At 36.2% G+C, this 26,739-nt stretch overlaps 2 long non-coding RNA genes across 2 annotated transcripts in view; one reads left to right on the plus strand and one right to left on the minus strand.

Annotated features, from left to right (window-relative positions):
- The window catches only part of LOC105374439 (uncharacterized), a 45,914-nt gene that overhangs the window by 12,492 nt on the left and 6,683 nt on the right, over positions 1-26,739 (plus strand). The gene's annotated exons all lie outside the window — the stretch shown is intronic.
- On the minus strand, positions 8,166-26,104 carry LOC112268465 (uncharacterized). The gene is made up of 2 exons (XR_002959790.2): positions 20,606-26,104; positions 8,166-8,631 (listed from the first exon to the last, which is right to left on the minus strand). It is a non-coding gene; the product is annotated as an uncharacterized LOC112268465 (long non-coding RNA).

Below are 26,739 nucleotides of genomic sequence, written 5' to 3' on the forward strand. Positions count from 1 at the left end.
GTATGATTTATAATCATTTGGGTATATACTCAGTAATGGGATGGCTGGGCCAAATGGTATTTCTAGTTCTAGATCCTTGAGGAATTGCCACACTGTCTTCTGCAATGCTTGAACTAGTTTACAGTCCCAGCAACAGTGTAAAAGTGTTCCTATTTCTCCACATCCTCTCCAGCACCTGTTGTTTTCTGACTTTTTAATGATCGCCATTCTAACTGGTGTGAGATGGTATCTCATTGTGGTTTTGATTTGCATTTCTCTGATGGACAGTGATGATGAGCATTTTTTCATGTTTCTGTTGGCTGCATAAATGTCTTCTTTTGAGAAGCATCTGTTCATATCCTTCACCCACTTTTTGATGAGGTTGTATGTTTTTTTCTTGTAAATTTGTTTAAATTCTTTGTAGATTCTGGATATTAGCCCTTTGTCAGATGAGTAGATTGCAAAAATTTTCTCCCATTCTGTAGGTTGCCTGTTCACTTTGATGGTAGTTTCTTTTGCTGTGCAGAAGCTCTTTAGTTTAATTAGATCCCATTCCTCAATTTTGGCTTTGTTGCCATTGCTTTTGGTGTTTTAGACATGAAGTCCTTGCCCATGCCTATGTCCTGAATGGTATTGCCTAGGTTTTCTTCTAGGGTTTTTATGGTTTAGGTCTGACATTTAAGTCTTTAATCCATCTTGAATTAATGTTTCTATAAGGTGTGAGGAAGGGATCCAGTTTCAGCTTTCTACATATGGCTAGCCAGTTTTCTCAGCACCATTTATTAAATAGGGAATCCTTTCCCCATTTCTTGTTTTGGTCAGGTTTGTCAAAGATCAGATGGTTGTAGATGTATGGTATTATTTCTGAGGGCTCTGTTCTGTTCCATTGGTCTATATCTCTGTTTTGGTACCAGTACCATGCTGTTTTGGTTACTGTAGCCTTGTAGTATAGTTTGAAGTCAGGTAGCATGATGCCTCCAGCTTTGTTCTTTTGGCTTAGGATTGTATTGGCAATACAGGCTCTTTTTTGGTTCCATATGAACTTTAAAGTAGTTTTTTCCAATTCTGTGAAGAAAGTCATTGGTAGCTTGATGGGGATGGCATTGAATCTATAAATTACCTTGGGCAGTATGGCCATTTTCACGATATTGATTCTTCCTATCCGTGAGCATGGAATGTCCTTCCATTTGTTTGTGTCCTTTTTTATTTCATTGAGCAGTGGTTTGTAGTTCTCCTTGAAGAGGTCGTTCGCATCCCTTATAGGTTGGATTCCTAGGTATTTTATTCTCTTTGAAGCAATTGTGAATGGGAGTTCATTCATGATTTGGCTCTCTGTTCATCTGTTATTCGTATATAGGAATGCTTGTGATTTTTGCACATTGATTTTGTATCCTGAGACTTTGCTGAAGTTGCTTATCAGTTTAAGGAGATTTTGGGCTGAGATGATGGGGTTTTCTAAATATACAATCATGTCGTCTGCAAACAGGGACAATTTGACTTCCTCTTTTCCTAATTGAATACCCTTTATTTCTTTCTCCTGCCTGATTGCCCTGGCCAGAATTTCCAACACTATGTTGAATAGGAGTGGTGAGAGAGGGCATCCCTGTCTTGTGCCAGTTTTCAAAGGGAATGCTTCCAGTTCTTGCCCATTCAGTATGATATTCGCTGAATGGGTTTGTCATAGATAGCTCTTATTATTTTCAGATATGTCCCATCAATACCTAACTTATTGAGAGTTTTTAGCTTGAAGGGCTGTTGAATTTTGTCAAAGGTCTTTCCTGCATCTTTTGAGATAATCATGTGGTTTTTGTTTTTGGTTCTGTTTATATGATGGATTACGTTTATTGATTTGCGTATGTTGAACCAGCCTTGCATCCCAGGGAAGAAGCCCACTTGATCATGGTGGATAAGCTTTTTGATGTGCTGCTGGATTCAGTTTGCCAGTATTTTATTGAGGATTTTTGCATCAATGTTCATCAAGGATATTGGTCTAAAATTCTCTTTTTTTGTTGTGCCTCTGCCAGGCTTTGGAATCAGGATGATGCTGGCCTCATAAAATGAGTTAGGGAGGATTCCTTCTTTTTCTATTGATTGAAATAGTTTCAGAAGGAATGGTACCAGCTCATCTCTGTATCTCTGGTAGAATTCGGCTGTGAATCTGTCTGGTCCTGGACTTTTTCTGGTTGGTAGGCTGTAAATTATTGCCTGAATTTCAGAGCCTGTTATTGGTCTATTCAGAGATTCAGTTTCTTCCTGCTTTAGTCTTGGGAGGGTGTATGTGTCCAGGAATTTATCCATTTCTTCTAGATTTTCTAGTTTATTTGTGTGAAGGTGTTTATAGTATTCTCTGATGGTAGTTTGTATCTCTGTGGGATCGGTGGTGATATCCCCTTTATCATTTTTTATTGCATCTATTTGATTCTTCTCTCTTTTATTCTTTGTTAGTCTTGCTAGCGGTCTATCAATGTTGTTGTCTTTTCAAAAAACCACCTCCTGGATTCATTGATTTTTTGAAGGGTCTTTTGTGTCTCTGTCTCCTTCAGTTCTGCCCTGATCTTAGTTATTTCTTGCCTTCTGCTAGCTTTTGCATGTGTTTGCTCTTGCTTCTCTAGTTCTTTTAATTGTGATGTTACGGTGTCAATTTTAGATCTTTCCTGCTTTCTCTTGTGGGCATTTAGTGCTATAAATTTCCCTCTACACACTGCTTAAATGTGTCTCAGAGATTCTGGTATGTTGTGTCTTTGTTCTCGTTGGTTTCAAAGAACATCTTTATTTCTGCCTTCATTTCATTATGTACCCAGTAGTCATTCAGGAGCAGGTTGTTCAGTTTCCATGTAGTTGAGCGATTTTGAGTGAGTTTCTTTAGCCTGAGTTCTAGTTTGATTGCACTGTGGTCTGAGAGACAGTTTGTTATAATTTCTGTTCTTTTACATTTGCTGAGGAGTGCATTACTTCCAACTATGTGGTCAATTTTGAAATAAGTGTGATGTGGTGCTGAGAAGAATGTATATTCTGTTGATTTGGGGTGGAGAGTTCTGTAGATGTCTATTAGGTCCTCTTGGTGCAGAGCTGAGTTCACTTCCTGTACATTGTTGTCAACTTTCTGTCTCATTGATCTGTCTAATGTTGACAGTGGGGTGTTAAAGTCTCCCATTATTATTGTTTGGGAGTCTAAGTCTCTTTGTAGGTCTCTAAGGACTTGCTTTATGAATCTTGGTGCTCCTGTATTGGGTGCATATATGTTTAGGATAGTTAGCTCTTCTTGTTGAATTGATCCCTTTACCATTATGTAATGGCCCTCTTTATCTCTTTTGATCTTTGTTGGTTTAAAGTCTGTTTTATCAGAGACTTGGATTGCAACTCCTGCTTTTTTTTGTTTTCCACTTGCTTAGTAGATCTTCCTCCATCCCGTTATTTTGAGCCAATGTGTGTCTCTGCATGTGAGATGGGTCTCCTGAATATAGCACACTGATGGGTCTTGACTCTTTATCCAACTTACCAGTCTGTGTCTTTTAATTGGAGCATGTAGCCCATTTACATTTAAGGTTAATATTTATGTGTGAAGTTGATCCTGTCATTATGATGTTAGCTGTTTATTTTGCTTGTTAGTTGGTGCAGTTTCTTCCTAGCATTGATGATCTTTACAATTTGGCATGTTTTTGCAGTGGCTGTTACTGGTTGTTCCTTTCCATGTTTAGTGCTTCCTTCAGGAGCTCTTGTAAGGCAGGCCTGGTGGTGACAAAATCTCTCGGCATTTGCTTGTCTGTAAAGGATTTTATTTCTGCTTCACTTATGAAGCTTAGTTTGGCTGGATATGAAATTCTGGGTTGAAAATTCTTTTCTTTAAGAATGTTGAATATTGGCCCCCACTCTCTTCTGGCTTGTAGAGTTTCTGCCGAGAGATACATTGTTAGTCTGATGGGCTTCCCTTTGTGGGTAACTTGACCTTTCTCTCTGTCTGCCCTTAACATTTTTCCTTCATTTCAACTTTGGTGAATCTGACAATTATGTGTATTGGAGTTGCTCTTCTTGAGGAGTATCTTTGTGGCATTCTCTGTATTTCCTGAATTTGAATGTTGGCCTGCCTTGCTAGGTTGGGGAAATTCTCCTGGATAATATCCTGAAGAGTGTTTTCCAACTTGATTCCATTTTCCCCATCACTTTCAGGTACACCAATCAGACATAGATTTGGTGTTTTCACATAGTCCCATATTTCTTGGAGGCTTTGCTCATTTCTTTTTACTCTTTTTTCTCTAAACTTCTCTTCTTGCTTGATTTCATTCATTTGATCTTCATTCACTGATACCCTTTCTTCCAGTTGATTGAATTGTCTACTGAAGCTTTTTCATGCATCTTGTAGTTCTTGTGCCGTGGTTTTCAGCTCCATCAGGTCATTTAAGGTCTTCTCTATGTTATTTATTCTAGTTAGCCATTCGTCCAATCTTTTTACAAGGTTTTTATCTTTGCAGTGGGTTCGAATATCCCCCTTTAGCTCAGAGAAGTTCGTTATTGCTCATCTTCTGAAGCCTTCTTCTCTCAACTCATCAAAGTCATTCTCTGTCCAGCTTTGTTCCATTGCTGGCGAGGAGCTGCGTTCCTTTGGAGAAGAGGTGCCGTGATTTTTAGAATTTTCAGCTTTTCTGCTCTGGTTTCTCCCCATCTTTGTGGTTTTATCTACCTGTGGTCTTTGATGATGGTCACGTACAGATGGGTTTTTGGTGTGGATGTCCTTTCTGTTTGTTAGTTTTCCTTCTAACAGTCAGGACCTTCAGCTGCAGGTCTGTTGGAGTTTGCTGCAGGTCCACTCCAGACCCTGTTTCCCTCGGTGTCACCAGCAGAGGCTGCAGAATAGCAAAGATTGCAGAACGGCAAATGTTGCTGCCTGATCATTCCTCTGGAAGCTTCGTCTCAGAGGGGCACCTGGCCGTATGAAGTGTCAGTCGGCCCCTACTGGGAGTTGCCTCCCAGTTAGGCTACTCGGGGGTCAGGGACCCACTTGAGGAGGCAGTCTGTCTGTTCTCAGATCTCAAACTCCATGCTGGGAGAACCACTACCCTCTTCAAAGCTGTCAGACAGGGATGTTTAGGTCTGTGGAAGTTTCTGCTGCCTTTAGCTCAGTTATCCCTTGCCCCCAGATGTGGAGTCTACAGAGGCAGGCAGGCCTCCTTTAGCTGTGGTGGACTCCACCCAGTTCGAGCTTCCTGGCTGCTTTGTATACTGACTCAAGCCTCAGCAATGGCCAGTGCCCCTCCCCCAGCCTTGCTGCTGCCTTGCAGTTTGATCTCAGACTGCTGTGCCAGCAGTGATCAAGGCTCTGTGGGCATGGGACCCTCTGAGCCATGTGCGGGATATAATCTCCTGGTGTGCCATTTGCTAAGACCAATGGAAAAGCTCAGTATTAGGTTGGGAATGACCTGATTTTCCAGGTGCCATCTGTCACAGCTTCCCCTGGCTAGGAAAGGGAATTCCCCAACCCCTTGCGCTTTCTGGGTGAAGCGATGCTTCACTTGCTTCAGCTCATGGTCCGTGGGCTGCACCCACTCTCCTGCATCCACTGTCTGACAAGCCTCAGTGAGATGAACCCAGTACCTCAGTTGGAAATGCAGAAATCACCTGTCTTCTGTGTCGCTCACGCTGGGAGCTGTAGACTGGAGCTGTTCCTATTCAGCCATCTTGGAACCTCTCTAGTGATTTTTTTTAATTTTTACATTAAAAGAGTCACATTTTCTAAAAGGTACTCCATAAATGTATTTTTTAAACAGAAGAAATCTATGCATCCATAAACACTAATATGATTTCTTCTTCAATTCTTAATTTTATCTGACCTTGACAATCTTTTAAATACATTTGAAATATCTTGATGAAATTGTGTTAAAAATGAGATCACTATAATTATTCTCATTCACTTATGCTCCACCTACATACCTATTATAGGAAGATGAAACAATGCCTAATTTTCTTCTTTTTCCTCTTCATCCATATATATATGTGTATATGTGTGTGTGTGTGTCTTTATTTATTTGATACATGTGCAGGATGTGCAGGTTTGTTACATAGGTTAATATGTGCCATGGTGGTTTGCTGCACCTGTGAACCCATCACCTAGGTATTAAGCCCCATGTGTATTAGCTATTTATCCTGATACTCTCCCTCTCCCAGCCCCTTCCGACAGGCCCCAGTGTGTGTTGTTCTCCTCCTCCTAGTGTCCATGTGTTCTCATTGTTCAGCTCTCACTTATCAGTGAGAACATGTGGTGTTTGGAGGATAATGGCTTCCAGCTCCATCCATGTCCCGGAAAGGACATGATCTCTTTCTTCTTATGACTGCATAGTATTCTATGGTGTATATGTACCACATTTTCTTTGTCTGGTCTATCATTGATGGGCATTTGGGTTAATTCCATGTCTTTGCTATTGTGAATAAGAATAGCAATGAATATATGTGTACATGTAGCTTTATAATAGAGTGATTTATATTCCTTTGGGTATATACCCAGTAATCTGATTGCTGGGTTAAATGGTATTTCTGGCTCTAGATCCTTGAGGAATTACCATACTGTCTTCCACAATGGTTGAACTAATTTACATTCCCGTCAACAATGTAAAAGCATTCTTATTTCTCCACAGCCTTGCCAGCATCTATTGTTTTCTGACTTTTTAATAATCGCCATTCTGACTGGCATGAGATTGTATCTCATTGTGGTTTTGATTTGCATTTCTCTGATGATCAGTGATATTGAGCCTTTTTCATATGTTTTTTGGCCACGTAAATATATTCTTTTGAGAAGTGTCTGTTCACATCGTTTTCCCAGTTTTTGATGGGGTTGTCTTTTTCTTGTAAATATGTTTAAGTTCCATGTAATTTCTGGATATTAGACATTTGTCAGATGGATAAATTGCAAAAATTTTCTCCCATTCTGTAGGTTGCCTGTTTACTCTGATGACAGTTTCTTTTGCTGTGCAGAAGCTCCTTAGTTTAATTAGACCCCATTTGTCCATTTTGGCTTTTCTTGCAATTGATTTTGCCATTTTTGTCATGAAGTCTTCACCCATGCCTATGTTCTGAATGGTGTTGCCTAGGTTTTCTTCTAGGGTTTTTATGGTTCTGGGTTTTACATTTAAGTCTTTAGTCCATCTTGAATTAATTTTTGTATAAAGTGTAAGGAAGGGGTCCAGTTTCAGTTTTCTATATACAGCTAGTGGTTTTCCCAGCACGATTTACTGAATAGGAGATCCTTTCTCCATTGCATGTATTTGTCAGGTTTGTTGAATATCAGATGGTTATAAATATGTGGTCTTATTTCTAAGACCTCTATTCTGTTCTATTGGTCTGGTGTCTGTTTTTGTACCTGTATCATGTTGTTTTGGTTACTGTAGCCTTCTGGTATAGTTCAAAGTCAGCATGATGCCTCTACTTTTGTTCTTTGTTTGCTTAGGATTGTCTTGGCTATACGGGCTCTTTTTTGCTTCCACATGAATTTTAAAGTAGCTTTTTTTTTAATTCTGTGAAGAATATCAATGGTAGTTTAATGGGAATAGCATAGAATCTGTAAATTACTTTGTGCAGTATGGCCATTTTCACAATATTTGTTCTTTCTATTAATGAGCATGGAATGTTTTTCCATTTATTTTTGTCCTCTCTGATTTTCTTGAGCAATGGTTTGTAGTTCTCCAGAAAGAGGGCTTTCACTTCCCTTGTTAGCTACATTCCTAGGCATTTTATTCTCTTTGTAACAACAATGCCCAATTTTCTAAAAATAGGTTTTTTAGGAGAGATCAACTCATAACACAAACAGCAAGTTTATCTCCTTAAAATTAAAAATAACAATAAAGTTAGTGTGTACTATTTGAGGAGTCAAGAATACATTTTGCTTCTAGATTGGTGTCTGAAATGACATTAATTAAAATAGCTGAATAATCATGGCTTAAATATTCATTAGGCCTGGTAATAACTCTCCCGGTAATTTTTCTGACAAAGAAATTCATAGAAAATACCACTATCTTATCAAATTATAATGATCATCTTACAAATAAATATAGTTTGGGAGTAATGACAGGTGACTGAAATAGGAAAGATATTTAGTAAGGAGGGAGCAGTTTCTGGGCATCTGGGGGATGGTTTAAATAACTTGGGAAGTGTATTAGCTCCCTATTGCTGCTGTGTAAAATTACCACAAACTTAATGGCTTCAAACAAGACAAATTTATCTTATGGTTCTAGGGGTCAAAATATGAAATGGGTCTTATTGGACTAAAATAAAGGTGTTGACAGGGCTGTATTCCCTCATGGAGGCTCCAAGAAAGAATCCATTTTCTTGCCTTTTACAACTCCTGGAAGATTCCTGGATTTCTTGATTCAAGTTTCTTTTGAAATCTTCGAAGCCAGCAAAACCATTCTTATAATGCCATCTCTCTGGTTCAGACTGTCCTGTTTCTTTCTTCTACATTTAAGAAAACCTTGTGTCCTCGCCAACATGGTGAAACCTCGTCTCTACTAAAAATACAAAAATAATCCGGGCATGGTGGCTCATGCCTGTAGTTCCAGCTACTCGGGAGGCTGAGGCAGGAGAATTGTTTGAACCCGGGAGGCGGACGTTGCAGTTAGCCAAGATCACACCACTATGCTCCAGCCTGGTGACAGAGCGAGACTTCATCTGAAAAAAAAAAAAAAAGAAAAGAAAGAAAACCTTGTGGTTACATTTGAATCCACCTGGATAATCCAGGATAATTTCCTTACCATAACTTCAGCTGCTAAGCAACCTTAATTCTGTCTGCAACCTTAACTCTCCCTTGCTATCTAATGTAACATATTCACAGGTCTGTGGGATTAGGATGTGATCATATGTTGATGGGCATTATTTTGCCCACCAGACTGGATAAAGCAAAGATGGAGGCTTAAGATGGTATGAAATATTATAGTTATGATTGAATACTTATGTCAGGAGTGCAGGAGTGAATACACACTACAATTTAATACTTGCTCGTATCTTAGTTCACCACTTATTTTAAGAAGTTCTGATGATTTAGGAAGTTGTGATTTTGCTTCTTTTCATGGCTATTTGATCCCAATTGAACCCATCACTGACAATTACCTTATGTAATAGTGCTTAAAAGTGCTTATTTTTCTGCTGGATTGCCACTTTTATTTTTTAGCAAATGATTTGCAATTATCAGTAATATATGCCAACTGACTTAATATGTGATTTCTCATATTTGATATTCCTTTATTGTTCCTTCTGGCAGTAAGAGAACAATTTTATATATCATAACAATTTTAGCTTACATATACTGCTGCCCACTACCATGGGAAGAAGATTATGTCTAGAACACCAGAGGATGCAAAAATAAGTAAACAGTAGTTTTAAAACTTTTAAACACCTACAGAACTCTTTTTTTTTCTAATGACATATTACGTGGAATTCTATAGACCAGTATATGAAGCAGATAACAATGGAACCATTTTGTTGGTGGAGTTGGGGGGCTTCAGATCTCACTTCTCACATCCCGCTCCTGGCAACTTCACCCTGCAAGTGGATTCATGTCTCATCAGGAAATATACAAGAATGTAGGGGATAAACAAAAATGCAGTAGAAGCCAGACTGAAATAAATGACAAGGATTATTCACAAAGTAGAGTGGAAGTTCAAGAAACAGAAATTCTAATAAGCTCCTGGAATTGGTTGGAGTCCTAAGTTGAAAGACAAATACAATTTTTGAAGAGTTGAAATCATGAGGAAGCATCAGGTAGAGAATAAAGAGGTAAGTAAAGGCAAAGAAACAAAGGACAAGGTGTGTTTGTGGGACAGCATACTTGGACAATTGTTTTGGCTAAATGTAAGAGAGGATTGAGAAATATGGGCAAGAGATAAATTGGGGAATTCTAGGGAAATCCTTGAATACCAAGATAGAAAACTAAAGTTTTTACTTCATTTGGTCATGGGAAACTTGCACTGAGCATGGGAGTCAATAATTAGAAGCAAGTTAAATTCAAAAAGTCGAACCCCATTCATAAAACCAGCTGATAGTCTGAAAATATGCTTTGAGCTAAGCAAAGAATACATGTTGACAAATCGTAACTACTTTAACTTCCTTTTTCTTGTACAATTGTGCATCCTGGCTTGTGACAATGCATACCTTCAGTCGTGTCCCCTCACCTCAAAGACTCCTCTGTTACAAACCCACTCTGCTCTTTTCTATAATAGTACATATGGGATTTTCCTACTCCTAGGAGGACCTTGAACTTGATTTAAACATAGCAAAGCACATTAAATATAAAGCCTGTGTATATAACATCCTTGAAAATTGTTGCATTTTGTGAATTCCCACAAGAAGCTTGATGTGACACATGTGAGACTGGACTTTATATGGCTTCACATGTCAAAGGAAATCATGACTTATTCTACACATTCTGGCAGTGTTTGCTATGAGAGTTTAGTAGATTCTACTCTTACCCCCAATGCTGTATTGTTTTCAGTAATAACTGTTTTCTTAAATTGGGTCTTACATTGATTATTCTACCACAGTTCTTACAGTTATTATTGCTGTGCCATTTGTATAGATTTACTTTTTAGAATACTGGAAACATGCATGGAACATTTATTCATTTTCTGGGGGAAAACCAGTATAGGGCCTGACTGGCCCCATCTCTGTAAGTGGCACCATCATTTGCCCAGTTTCTTAGGCAAGAAACCAGGGATTCATTATTGATGCTCCCCCCACCATTCACTTCAGTTAGATTGAAAAATAAGGTGACAATTATCTATTCCTCCCCATCTCCACACCCTTAGGAATGTGACTTTGCAGTTCTTTTCATCAACAGGCAGATCTGTGTCCCCTCCCCTTCAATTTGGGTGGGCCTTGTGACATTTTATATATATATAATAAATATATAAATTAAAAAATATACATTTGTTCTAAATATTTATACATGAAATTTACAGGGTTTATTCTAGTATCAGTATAGTAGCTCTATTTGTAAATCTATAATTTCAAGGTTTTCCCAGCTATTATCTTTATCCCAACAAATCCTTTTTAAACATAACTTTATTAAGATATAATTCATATGCCATAAAAGTTAACCATTTAAGGTATGCAATTAAATGGTTTTTAGTATATTCACAAAGCTGTGCAACCATCATCACAATGATTTTAGAACATTTGTTTTTATCTGCCTCAAAAGAAACCCTTTACTCACTAGTATTCACTCCCAATAGCCCTCCACCCCTTTGACCCTAGGTAACCCCTGATCTATTTCCTGCTTCTATAGATTTGACTATTATGGACATTTCATATAAATGGAGTCATGTGATATTTGGCCTTTTATGACTGGTGTCTTATCCTTAGCATAATGTTTTATAGGTTCATCCATGTGGTAACATGTATCAGTATTTCATTATTTTTATTGCCAAGTAATATTCCATTGTATGCATATACCACATTTTACCTTTTCATTTATCAGCCAATGGACATTAGGTTATTTCCATTTTTGGTTATTATGATGAATGTTTCTATGAACATTCATGTTCAAACTTTTGTGTAGACATACACATTCAATCCCTTTGGTATGTACCTGGGAATGGAATTTCTGGGTCATATAGTAACTCTATGTCTAGGATTTTGAAAAACTGCCAAATTGTTTTCCAAGGCAGCCTCACCATTTTCTTTTTCTACCAGCAGAGCATAAGGGTTATGATTTCTCCACATCCTCAATGATGCTTATTGTGGTTTACCAACATGTGTATTTCATATTTCCATGAAACTGATGTCTATTTGTCTTCAATTTCTCATCAATTCAGTTCATTTCCCACAAAGCTTTCATAGTAATATTTCTAAAACATTTCAGCAGGCAACTCTCTTGGAAATATATAATTTATTCTTATTTCCTATGGTGTCAAACACAAATTCTAAACTTACATTTCAAAGTCTTCAATAATTTAGCACCATCTTTCCTTTTCTTCCTTTATTTTTGTTCTAGTCCGGCCCAGATTTCCACCTCCTTACTTCTCCTGACCTGGAAATGTCCCACTATTTTTATTAACTTTGTTCATTCCAGTTTCTTCACACTTTTGAAACAGTCCTTGAGCTGCCAATCAAAATTAAAATTGAGATGCTTTTGTCCTGGGAATTTTTCTCTAATTCACTTCAGCATGTATTGAACTATTCTTTCGATGAATGTCTTTCACATTTGTATTTAACATCAAATGTATTAGTTTCCTCTCCCTAACTAGATTGGAAACTTCTGTAAAGTTAGAATTGTGTTTTACATATTTTTGTGACACACCATCCCACCCGTGATTCATAGGGTGCTTAATGGATATTTTGAAACACTTGTGAATGGAACAAGATGGAGCTGCTACTATTAGCTAATTTGCAACATGTCTGAGACTTGCCCCCATCTTTCCAAAACTGGAATAATTTCCACAGGACTGTTTTAAAAAAAATCAAACATTTTTTATAATTTAAATTATCCAACATACTATTTACTGCAAACTGCTTTTCTGAGGAAGAATGCATTGATTTATTTTCACAGTTTTCATCTCTTTTATATTCATTAAAACTAAAGGTGATTGGTATTATGGAAAGAAAATCTCTTTCAGTTTAATCGTGGATTCTGAGCATAAAGTTGTTCAAATGCTGGAAAACTGATCTGGCACAATTTCTTATCTGTAGCAAAATACCATGATCTCTTTATTGTGGTTTTTACTTAATATTTTAGTATGGATTAAAGTCTAAGGAAATATGATAGGGGGTGTTGAAGTTATAATAAGTGATGCCATGATATAAAGAAAGGCAAAGGATTAGAATCCAGAGAACTAAACATCAGACATGATGTATATTATAAAATATCTTATGGAAAGGAGTCAGTGCTAGGGATTCTAGATTTATCAAATGATTTATTGCTTTATACGTTTTAAAATTTATGACCATAACATTACCAACTTTTCAATTATTTAAAACTTCAGCATTTTAGAATTCAAGGCATCTGCAAGTTAGTTAAGGGAAGGCTCAGCTGATATAACAAATAAAACAAGTTTAGTGGCTTAGAGAAAATAAACATTTTTTGCATCTTACAGTCTGAGGTGAGCATTATAGGTTGGCATACAGCTATGCTCCAGCCAATCCTTTAGAGAACTGGCTTATTTCTAGTTTGTTTCTGGGTGAAACCCTAAGCCATTGTCCTCAACAGCTTCCCTGTTCAGGTACTTTCTTTCAGCTTGTGAAGTGAGCCTGGATACAGGGTCTCCGTGCAAGGTTTTACAGGCTAGGCCAGAAGTAATTACGTGTCACTTCTGCTGACATTTCATTAGTAAGAACTCAATCACTAAGCTGCACCTGTCTACAAGGGGCACTGGGAAATAAAGTCCTCGTTAGGCAGTCATGTCAGCTATAGCTGCCTTACTGTGTCAGAAAAAAAGACAGATTTGGGGCAACTAGCGGTGTCTTCCACAGTCAACCAGACCAAAACTGCAGATTACTGATGATAAAACTGAGACTAGAGAGACTATTACTTGCCACCTATATAGCCTCAGATATGTAAATCCTACCACATACCACCTTTGTGGTCTTGAACATATAACTCTGTCACTTTCCACCTGTTCCACAGTAGAGAAAATAACCTTTACCTTTATTTCAACTTGAATAACTAACTTCTTAGCGTCTATGTGACCTTGGGCACAAAACCTCTACCAGTTAATACCTTTGTGACCTTGGACATGTAATTGCTACCACTTGCCATCTGTCTGACCTTGAACACTTAACTTTCACCACTTATTACTTATGTCACCTTGAACACCTACCTTATACCACTTACCACCTATTTTTCTTATCTCTACTTCATAAGGTTGTATTAGTCAACATAATTGATATAAAGACTAGGACAATGATGAACACATCTTTCTCAATAAATGTAAGCTGCTGTTGCTATTACTATTATTACTCCTCATGTTACTGTTACTTTTGCTACCTAGTTAACAGAAAACTACATAAACATTATAATTAATCTTTTATTAATCACATAGAAGAATGTTTTAGGGCCTCCAGGTTACTAATATGAATCTTAGTTATTGCTAAGCTTTTAGACATGCTCTTGAATAAAAGGTTGTAATCAATATAATGTCACCCAAATCAACATTTAATATATACACTTCAATATTATGTAGTAGCTATAGCTTCAGACTAAAAGGAATAGTAACATATTTATGTATTCTGGTGATGTTTGTCAGTTATGTAATCCTGTGACTTGTTTATTGAATGTTGCTCCTGTGGGGGAAATAAAAACATCAAAAGTGGGATAATTTATTGTGAATATATTCTCAGAGTTAAATCAACTGTTAGTGTATTTTATCCACTGTTTTGTTATGTTAACATCCCAGAGAACCTAAATGATCTTAATGATTATTTACTCAATAAATAAACTATTTAGTTGGAAACAGAAGTCTAGAAACTAAAAACTCCAAGTAGTAGATTTCCACAGTTTTCTAAAATGAAATTACATCAATTTGTAAATAGGTCTTTACATGCAAATTTCCTGTCCCTTTCTTCATGCAGCAAAATAACTTGGACAGATGGAGTTCTCATGAACTAAACAGAGTAAACAGCTTACTGTCAAAGTCAGGATTAGTTTTTCTATATCTTACAGACATCACACAAAAAATTTTAAACAGCTTCCATTTATGCTCTAGCTTGCTTTCTGTTTTCTCTAAATCAGTCACAAGTTCACACTTATGTTATTAATATTTTCCTTTAGAAGCATGTTGATACTTGTTACCTTAAATGAGAGCTCATCTTATTGGCTCCATAGACAATATGATTTTCAAATAGAGCATCTAGCTGTAAATGTCCACGTTTTGATGTATATTTTAAATCCTAGCAATAATTCAAAGTAATTTCCACCAGATCCAGAAGATGATTGATATTTGTAAATTATGCACGTACATGCACGCATGCACACACACATGCACAAGGATTTAGTGCTTTTGATTCATCACATATGTGATAAATAACTCTATTTATTCTGTTGAAAGTGGACCTGAAAAGAAGATGAACAGGAAATAATGAGAAAGTAAAGAAGTCTCACAAAATGACTGCTTATGAAATAGAAGCACGGGCTGTGTTGAAACCAAGCAGTTAAATTCCCTATGGCATAACTGTATGTCATATGCAAGATCACTATGTATTTTACCTTAAAATGTGAAAATATAGGTCATGAAATTATTTCAGTGAGTACTCTAGGGAGAATTAATTTTTATAGCTCTATAAGTGCAAAAATTTAGAGCTGTTTTATGAAATCGATAAGGGTGTGAAGAACTTTTTTTTCCATTTAGTTATGGCATTTTATGAAGGAAATTATATGCTATAATAATGTTTAAGAATTTGGAGAATCTTCACAGCTTCAGCATATGCCTCCTGGAATGGCAATATTTATTTAGCAAAGAGATAATCATTGCCTACTGGTCTCTCACTCACTTAATACATATGAGTCAATCTGCAAGCTTGGATATACGGATTGTGTTCTGGATTTTACCGGAGTAGCACCAACATAAAAATGTAGCTTAAGGTCAGTTATTTCTGAATATGTTAGTTTATATTCATGGTTATAGCTTTTTAAATCAATTTCCAAATTAATTTTTGAATATAGTAAAAAAAAATGGCACTACAAGTAAAAGTAAACAATAGTATTCAATTACACAATAAGAAATAACTTGCCATCTCTCTTTTAGAGATATTCCATAGGAATACATGAGAGTCATTTTCTTTTTTTTAATGTTTGTTAGGGTATGTTTACTGGACACTAATATCCTACAATCAGTCAAAACTGTCCTGACCAGCATCTCATTTTATTTCAATTCTTTACAGTGTGCGGATACTAACAAGTTTTGCCACTGGGGGTCACTATTTACCTATTTTTTTTAAAAAAACCAATGACTTAAAAGCGAAGTGATGTAACTGGATAATTTGTGGTTCGTGGTGTACAGTTTAAAGAAATATTGCTGCAGGAAAAGTCTAAATTTAGATAGATGTTCCTAGAGACTAAAATACCATCCTTGGTAAATTAAGTGATTCCGTAGAGCTACTGATTTTTCTCGAGATTTTATTCAGAGATAACTAAATAGTGATTATGTCCAAAATAACCATGTATGTATTTTAGGATGCTTTGCCAATTTGAGGAAGTTTATAGGCTGGATGCTTTCCAGGGCCCCAGGGAATCATGGAGGAGACAGTATGCAGTGAAATAGATGGAACAGGGTCGTTGACTCAGGAAGGAGAGCTAGGTTCCGATCTGACTCTATCATTCACTGTCCGGGGACATGATCTAGTCCCTTACTCTCCAGTTTTCCCCTTTGTAAAATGAAGGTGGCAGGTTTCATGATTTCAGTAGTCCCTTGTCATCCTATCTTTCTAAGAGTACCTTTCATTAACTGTTAGATTGTAAAGTTTTTGGATGAAAGGGAATGAAAATGTTTTTACTCTTTTATAGCCATAATAGACAAATAGTAAGACAGCAACAACGGAAGTATTTTTTTGGTTACGTAAAATATTTTATGACAGCATAATCAAATGACTATTACTACAAGGTGTTCTTTTGTAGTGAGTGACGTAAGACACAAGGGGGAATCAATACCCTGGAAAGTTCTTACAACATTTTAGAACAAGTTAATGTGTTTTTGATCACTTCTGCTTAATAAGTTATTATTGGACTGGTGCCTTTCCCTGACTTATCTGGTTCTGATTGATCCGTAGGAATAATGATTCCAGGCCTAGGAGCTGCTGGATTCTCTTCCTTTAACTTTTGGCCACGAAAGATTCACTCCCAGATGAATGCTTACCCTCCATTTTCTAGCCTGGTGCTATTTCATTCTCTAGCACTAGTTCTAAGCCAGGTGTCCCTGATCTTGTGCCTCAGATCTGCCAGTGATAAACAATATTTGTCTGTGGTGCCAGGGAGTAAAACTCAAGCAAAAAGCCACAGTTTTCATAGCTTAAGTGGTTAGAGTTAGAGTTCAGGACTGCCAGCCAGCTGGAAATTGAATAGGAAAATACTTGAAAAAGAGGAACGACCCAAAATCTGCATATAAACTTCTCTCACATCGTTGGATAAACCAGAACTGTGCATGCACAGTGGAGATTCCAAGGAATATAGAAAGAAAACCTGCCTGTAGGCTGAAAATGCTAAGCAAAGATTTGAATTTCTGCCCAGCACAAGGATCATGGGAATTGACACTTAAATATTTCCAAATGAGATTTGCTTTTAATTGAAACCCCAGAAGGGCTATGACTTAGGAATAATGATTATTTCCTCAGGACTAGGCTAAACTGAAACAAATCCTCCCCAAGAAATTATAAAATCAAGCCCACACAAGTTGAAGATACATAGTAATTTAGTTATTTACTAACCACAAATCAGCACTCTTTAGAGGAAGATTCTAGAATCCGGAGTCTAGTTTTTACAATCCATAATGCATAGCATAAAACTAAAAGTTACTACACATGGGGGAAAAAAAAAACAGGAAAATGTGGCTGATTTTTAAAAGTAAAAGTACATAATTGAAACATTCTTGGAGATGATAGAATTGGAAGACAAAGATTTAAAATTCAGCTACTATAGGCATGTTCAAGGATGTAAAGGAAATGATGCTGAAGAGATGAAGAATCTGAGCAGAGAAATGGATGTTATAAGAAAGAAAAAAATAAGAATTCTATTTAAAAGTATATTACTTGAAATGTAATATTACTTGAAAATTTACTGGTGAGGTTTAATAGCAGAGAGAAGATGGCAGAAGAAAAGATTGGTCAGTGAATTTGAGGACAAATTAATAGAAATCATATAATCTGAAGAATAGAGAGAAAAATAATTTAAAAAATGAATGGAACCTCAGTGCATTGTAGGATAATATCATACTAATGTGTGTGTAACTGGAATATACAAAGAATAAGCACAAGATATGAATAAGAACATTATTCAAAGAAATGATATCTAGACTGGGCATGGTGGCTCATGCCTGTAATCCCAAAGCTTTGGGAGGCCAAGGTGGTAGGACTGCTTGAGACCAGGAGTTCTAGACTGGCCCAGGCAACATAATGATACCTAATCTCTTAAAGAAAAAAAAAAAAGAAAGAAAGAAAATTAGCCAAGTGTCGTGGCATGAACCTGTAGTTCTAGCTACCCAGGAGTCTGAGGTGGGAGAATCCCTTGTGCCTGGCAAGAAGTTTGAAGCTGCAATGATCACACCATTGCTCTCCAGCCTGGGCAACAGAGTGAGACCCTGTCTTGAAAAAAGGTTAAAAGAAATTTTTTAAAAACAGAAATGATGGCTAAATTTCTCCAGATTTGGTGAATAAACACCAACCTAGAGAAACATATACCTTAAGCATCAAAAAAATAATATATACACATAACACTAGGAACATCATAGTCAAATGACTGAAAACCAAAAGTAAAGAAAGAAACCTTGGAAGCAGTTGGGAGTAGGGGTTAGATAAAGTTTGTAAGTGTGAAAAATAATACAAAATGCACCATCTTCTCATGAGAAACAAAGGTGGGTAGACAATGACATTATAACTTTGGTACTCAGAGGGAAAAAAAGGGTCAATCTAATATTTTATATGTAGCATTCTATATAAAAAATAAAAGCCAGATAGACATTCACAGATATGTAACAGCTGAAATAATTCAAGATGATCTGGAGTACAAGGAAGGTAGAATAAATTATTCAGGATGAAAGGAAATAACATTAAATATAAACTTGGATTTACAGGCAACAATAAAGAGCTCCAAAAATGGTAAAATGAGAGTAAATATAAAAGACTATTTTTCCCTGAATTTCTTAAAAGTTATTTGCTATATTATATGTTTGGATTTTGGGGCTTGTAGTATGTAGGTGTAAAGCATAAAATAAAAGACAACAATAGCAAAAAGAACATGAGGGGAGGGTAAATGGAAGGATATTCTGGCAAAGTTCTTAACATTTTATGTAATGTGGTATAAGATTAAATGTAAGTAGACTGTTATAAGAATTAATTTTGTAATCTCTGGTGTATAAAATGTTAGATCTAAACATTTAAAAATGTTGCCTCTAAACTCCACTGTATTATTACATTTTACAAAGATAAACTAGACACTCAGTAAAAAGCAGAGATTATACTACTAGATTTTAAAAGTTCTGAAAATATGCTATTTATAACAACACCTAAATATGCTATTTATAACAAACACCTAAAATATGCTATTGAGAACAAACAACTCAGTTGCTGAAACCCAGACAAATTGAAAGAAAATCAATAGAAAAATATATGTCATGCAAATAGTAACCATCAAAGAGCTGATGTGATTATACTAATATCAGATAAGATGTATTTCAAGACAAATAGGATTATCTGAGAGAAAGAGGGCCATTTTATCATTTCATAATGATAAAAGGGTCAATGAATCAAGAAGACATAACAATTCTAACTATATATGCCCCTAATAGTTGAGCTTGAAAACACATACATAAAAAAATAAACAGAGCTAATGGGAGAAACTGACATATGAACATAGCTGGAAAATTTGACACTGCTCTATGAGTAATTGATAGAACAATTAGATATAAATCAGTAAAAATATACACAATTTTAGCCTTGACCTAATTAATAATATTTAGAGGACTTTGTCTATCACTTCTCAGACTTTTGGCTAAGATCAATTGTAGAGCACTTCATCCAATATTCCATATTGGATGAAGTGCTCTACAATTGGATATATAGTCCAAGTTGTGGAATATATATTCTTTTCAAGTGTATGTGGTACATTCCCAAAAATAGACCATCTACAGGTCATAAATATGTCTCAATATATTTCAAAAGATTGATATCATACAGAGTATGTTCTATACCATAGAAAATAAATTAAAGATCAATGATTATCTATAAAAACCTCAACTGGAAATTAAACAATATACTTATAAATGACTAATGGCTCAAGAAATCATGGGAGAAATTACAAAATATTTTGAATTAAATAAAAATAAAGGTTAAAGGTACAACACATCAAAATTTGTGAGACACAGTGCTTAAAGGGAAATTTTTAACGTTTAATGTCTATATTCACTGTCAGTGATATGTTTTCATTGTAAGAATTTCAAAAAATATAAACATATTAAAACTAAAGTAAGCCAAATAAAGGAGGAAATACAGAGCAGACATTTTTAAAAATGGAAAAAATGAATGGAATATTAAGTCAAACTCAGTTATGCAAAAAATGACTACAAAATATATACCACTTTAGCGAAATTGATAAAGAAAATGTCAAACAAAAATGAACATTCAGGAAGGGAAAGATTGTCACTATAGATTCTATAGACATTAAGAGAATGACAACAGAATGTTATAAACAAATACAATTCTAGTTGAAGTGGAAAGATTTCTTGAAAAACAAACCAAACATAGGAAAAATTAAAATATTATTTCAGTGATACTGAAGAGTAGAGACAATAGATTATTCAGTATTAGTGTTGCCTCATTTGGATACCTATATGAAAAAAAATGAAATTTGATCCCTTCTTTCCACTATGCATAAAATTTAATGCTAGGTATATTACAGTTTAAGTGTGAATGGCAAAACAATAAAACTTGTAGAAGAAATAAAGCTCACCTGGAAGAATTCTGAGCACCTTTGAGACTACACTTCAGGATGTTGACCTATTTGTCAGCTTGCGTGACTGTGCATTGAGCAGCAGCAGGCATGGTGACAAGACATGCTGCACAGAAATGCCTGAGCACATTACGGGGAACAAAGTTCTCAAAGTTATGGCTTCAAATTTTACATGTTCTGTTGCTGAGTTGCAGCTCCACCTGCGAGTACCTGTTCTTGGTCTGGAAGCATAGCTGTAGCTTAATTAGAATGGTTAAGACAGGAGTTAGGTTTTTTTTTAATGTGGTTACTCAAAAAATAGTGCTTGTAGTCTTTCTTGAGAAAAATCGTTTGTCTGAAGAGAAACTGGAGATTTTTTTTGCACTGTTGTAGAGCACACAGTGTCTTAGGTGTCCCAGTCTTTAATAGGTGATTTATGAACTGCTGCTGTTAACATTTATAACATTCACTTTACACATTTCCTCACCTCACATGGAGCTTAGCATCTTTGTGATATAAATGGGGTATAGGGAGGAGGGCAATGCTAATATATCCAGAAGCTGTGTTTGTGCCTTAGATTGTGCCTGGTAAACTGTATCCATTATGAATATTTGAAGACGAAATCCACTTTGGGAGGCCGAGGCAGGAGAATTGCTTGAGGACAGAAGTTCAAGACCAGATAGGCTAAGATAGTGAGACTTCCTCTCTGTAAAATATTAAAAAAAAAAATTAGCTTGGGCTTGGTGGCACATGCCTGTAGTCCCAGCTAGTCAGAAGGCTGAGGCAGGAGGCTTACTTGAGCCCAGGAATTTGAGGCGACAGTGAACTATGATCACGCCACTGCACTCCAGCCTGGGTGATAGAGTGAGATGGTGTCTCTATAAATAAATAGAAAGAAAGAAAGAAAATAAAGAAGAAATCTACATCAAATTTTTATTTCTAGAGAGGTTCTCCAGTTAAAAGTTTATAGCTATAGTCTAAAGAATGCTTTGAAAAAATCTTTTAATACTGCTACCGTCATCCCTAAATGGGATGGAGGTAGCTGGACCATGAGAACACTATTGGCAACTGGATATGCCTCACCTGTTGCTTTCCATTGTTTTTCTTTTCCCATGCTGTTTGAGTTTGTCTTCCATTCAGTGGCTTATCTCTCTCATTTAAATTATCTTTCAAACTGAGTTTTTTTTCTGGAAAATATTAAACAGTGCTCTATAAACCTAAAGGAAGGACAACAGTCTGGATTCAAAATACTGCAGTAAGATCTCTGTTAGCACCACAAATTGCCTGGATTTAAGGATATTTTATGTTGCTTGCTCTGCATATAAATGAAATAATTTATATCCTCCTTCCTTCTCTCTTTCTTCGAACAACAAATATTGATTGAGAGCCAGTTACATCCTACATAAAGAAAATATAGAATTGAACAAAATCAAGACCCTCATTTTCTAATGGAAGGATATGGATAACTAACACAAACATATAATATATTACATAATGAAATGTACTATAAAGATGAATAAAGCAAAGTGAAGACTGGGTGACTGATAGAGATGAGGGGATATGTGGTGTTATTTTATAGAGGGTTGTCAGGAATGTGACATTTGATTGATACCTGAAGGAACTAAGAAATGAGCCATGTGAATACCAGGAAGCACAGGATTTCAAATAGGAGATAGCAAGTGAAAATGTCCTGATGTGGGAGTTTGCTTGGTGTGTTAGAGCAACAGCCACAGGGTCCTGTAAACCTGGAGGAGAGTGAATGATGTGGGAGTTGTGGCCATGAGGTCTGACAGATGAGTTTTAGGTAATAGGTTTGAGATTTTACTTTAAGTAAAATAGGAAGCCAAAGGAAGAGTTTATCTGTAGAAAAATTTTTTAGATGAGTTTTTGCTAAACTTTCTGAAATTCCTTAAATTGATTAAATGTTCTAGTTCCAATTCTGCTGGGCTTTATATTCAAAAGTGGAAAGAAACTTTCATATATTCAATAAATATAGATACATACTATTCTGAGGAAGTATGTGATTTCCCAGAAGTAAATAATAACAACATTCTAAATTGATAAATAATAGCAATATAATCCTATTCCAGCTGTTTCAAACTATGTGTAGAAGCAATTGGAACACTGTTAATGGCTGCCAAGAGTCAGGATGAAACTTGAAAATTAGGATGAAACTTGAAAATTATTTCTTAATATTTCCTCTCATAAAAACTCCTGTGTATTTAACCATTACCAAACACTGTCAAAATAAATGAGGCAATTAGGATTCTGAACTTGAATCTGACCAGGATGAGTTGGTATGAGTAAACTCTACCACATCTACCAAGCGATGTGACCTTGGATGAATTTCCCCAGTGTCTTCAAGTCTCACTTTCTGTATTCCTAGCATGTACATAATAGTTCCTAATTCATGGATAATGTATGTAAAGCACTTAACCCAGTTTTTACCACCTAGTAAGCATTTAAAAATAATAGTGGTTATAATAACTATCTTGTTCTTGCCTCTTCTAGTATTACTAAATATTGGGCAGACTAAAATAAGTTACAATATTTGCAATGAGTTGACTGTAGCCAACATGAATATTTATTAGTGTACTCATTTTTTGTTATTGCTAGGATCTAAAAATAATATGCACAGGAATAAAGCAAAGAAAATACCCTATTAATGCAAATAACTTAAACCGATAAGCAATACATACTTTTATATAAATCAATGAACATCTGATTTTAATTTTGAACTACCCAAACTCTTATCAGGACCTTTTTTTTCAATTCAAAGAACACAAGTTTAACAGTGCCTCATTTGTCCTTAACTCACTCTGACATCTTGTTGATTATACATGTTCAATAAATGCTTGACACACACAGAGGGAGAGGTGGGATTTAAAAAGTAAAATATCTTCCTGAATTTGGGATCCCTGTGCACTGCTGCTAGGAATGTAAATAATACAGCCACTATGGAAGACAATATGTAGAGTCCTCAAAAAGTTAAACCTAAAATTACCACATGATCATGCAATTACACTTCTAAGATTTACACAAAACAACTGGAAGCACAGACTCAGACAGATACTTGTACACCAGTGTTCATAGCAACATTATTTACAATAGCTAAAAGGTGGAACAACCCTTTTACACAGCAGACAACGAGACAAACAAATTGTGGTGTATATATTAATATACAATAATATTCGATGGAATATTATTCAGCCTTAAAAGGGAATAAAATTCTGATAATGCCCTAATAAGGGCAAACCTGGAAAGCATATGCAGTTTAAAATAAGCCAGCCACAAAAAGACAAATATTATATTATTCACATACATGAGGTACCTGGAATAGGCAAATCCATAAAGACAGAAACAGAGGTTACCACGGGTGGGGAGAGGGGTCAATGGGGAGTTATTGTTTAATAGGTACAGAATACAAAGTTCTGGAAGTGGATAGTGGTGACGGTTGCACATCATTGTGAATGTAATTAATACCACTGGATTGTACACTTAAAATGGGGGGAAATGTTAAGTTTTATGTTATGTGTATTTTACCTCCATAAAAATATCTGTTCAGAATTTTAAAAAGGTAAGCTGTCTCCACAAGTACATTTATTAAATATTTCTCAGATATAACTACTTCTGTAGTGTTACATATTGGGTTATCCATTCATTCACTGAGAATTTATTACATGTTATGGTGGTTTTCTCAGCTCATTTCCCAGAGGACTGTGCATCAGCCATATAGTTTGGGGATGGGGGGCAGGGTGTTGGTGTTTCCACGCTCTCTGGGGTTGTTTTAGCCTATCATTGTAATTTGGTGCCCCTTGCTATGGAGATTTTTCCATAGATGGGTTGTTGCCTAGATCTAAGACAATATATTAAGGGCCACAAAATGTCTACGAAAGGAGAATGGCTGTAGAATAGCTACCCCAACTACTGCAGGATTCCATTCTCCAAAAAAAATGGAAAAATTGACTGGGCCATAGACATTTTTATAACCTAGCAACACAAATCACAGACAACTTATACCAAAAACTATGTCCCAACTAAATTCACTGGCATGTTATGAAAGATTAAAGGCTCATCTGTCCTCAGAAAAAGTGTCAGTGCTTTGTTATTTTTTTTTTTGGGTTTAAAAATAGCTTGAGAGCTACTGGGAAAACCACTGGCAAAGAGGAGAAGCATGTGAAGCTATAAAAAATTATCTGCTTTTTTTTTTTGGTTGTTGTTTAATATGGTAAATGCAGAATGGTGCTGTGTGCATTCTTAGGTTCATTTAACCTAAACTCTGTTATTCTGCCCAAGAACATTTGGAACAGATCGTGTCCACTCCCCCTACCCACAATGTTAGTTAAAGCAAGAGAGTCATCTGAAGCAGAAGGAGACAAATTGTTCCCAGTCTGAAACTATACCACCTTTGCTGGAGGGGGAAAAGAATACAATAGTGGAAGTTATTTTGGTGCTGCTTCTCTGCTGAGTAAATGCAGGCTTGTGCTCCTTTTTCCTTCGTCCTCCTTCCCTCTCATTTTCCATTATCTGTCAAAAGAAAAACTTCAAAGATACATTAAGATAAAGTACAATTTAAAAGATGAGGACAAATAACTGAGACACATATCTTAAAGAAACAATGTTTACATTCTGGTTTTGACTTTTTAGGAATACCAGGGTACACAAGGTTCATTTTAGTTTAACTTTTGAGAAGAGGAATGATTTCATATCCAAGGAGAAGTATGAAGTGGAGTTTAGGAAGTAAAATTGCTCTCAACAAATACATGGAAGGGAGGCAATGTTAGAAAAGCTACAAAACAGAAATCATAATGTTCCAAATCTTAAGACTTCCAAAGCATTCAAGCTCTGTCATCAGTGCAGATGGCCTAATTATGAAGAATAAATTGACAAAAATTGTCATGTGCTTTTCTAAGAGTGCTTTGGTAAATCAGAAACATTTCTGATTTCTCCTGCATCCAAAAGGAGACAAATGATTGAAGGTTTTCCAAAACAAACAAATATAAGAGGAATGACTGGGAACAAAACCCAAGAGAGATGCTGAGGAGATGTGGGACCTGCCATACAATAGGAATTTTGGAGAAACTTGGTTTCTTGCTGCTCTTCATGGGAATTTTGAGCCATTGCTGTGTGCACATGACTTTAAGCTTTCTGCAGACAAGGGAATCTGGAGGTCTATGTTTAGAAACCTAATGGCGGTCGGGCGCGGTGGCTCATGCCTGTAATCCCAGCACTTTGGGAGGCCGAGGCGGGCGGATCACGAGGTCAGGAGATCGAGACCATCCTGGCTAACACAGTGAAACCCCGTGTTACTAAAAATATAAAAAAATTAGCCGGGCGTGGTGGTGGGTGCCTGTAGTCCCAGCTACTCGGGAGACTGAGGCAGGAGAATGGCATGAACGCAGGAGGCGGAGCTTGCAGAGAGCCAAGATTGCGCCATTGCGCCACTGCACTCCAGCCTGGGCACAGAGGGAGACTCCGTCTCAAAATAAAAAAAGAAATTAAAAAAAAAAAAGAAAAAAGAAGAAACCTAATGGCACGGCTAAGGAATTATTTCTCTAAAGAGATAGAAACGGAAGAATGTGTGGGCAGTGAGTAGGAAAGTTTCTGTTCTTCTGATTTAAAATTATTATTAAAAATTATCCTTTGCAGCACTGCAGCTAATTTGAGTGTGTAGTGGGAGGGGTCAGAGTAGGAGAGCTGAGATTTCATTGAGAATCTCCAAATCAAAACTGTCCATGGAGGCTCAAGGCATAATACTATATCTTGTTTGTAACTCCTTTTTCACTATGTTTTATATGTGTTTATTATGCAAATAAAATTATAATCATAGCAAAGATTCTGAAAGAAATATATTCACTCAAAAGTCTGTATATTAAACCACTGGTGATACATTTTATTTGCTCTTTTTCATTGTTCCTTTAAGGTGTTATTCATATATATCCATCTCATTTTTTAGTGGTTATATTCACTTCATGGATTAAATTTTGAATTCAGTCTTTTTACCCTAGCATTTGTTTATGGCAATTATTCCATGTTCTTGTTAGTTTTAAGATAATCGCATTAATGGCTATAACTGCCTGTTTCTGTAGTGTTTAACTGTTAAGTTTTACCAATTTGTCATAGTCATAAATAATGTTAAGAATGGGTACTAACAT

The sequence above is a fragment of the Homo sapiens genome, chromosome 4, assembly GCF_000001405.40.
Source record: "Homo sapiens chromosome 4, GRCh38.p14 Primary Assembly".
Taxonomy (NCBI): Eukaryota; Metazoa; Chordata; class Mammalia; order Primates; family Hominidae; genus Homo; species Homo sapiens.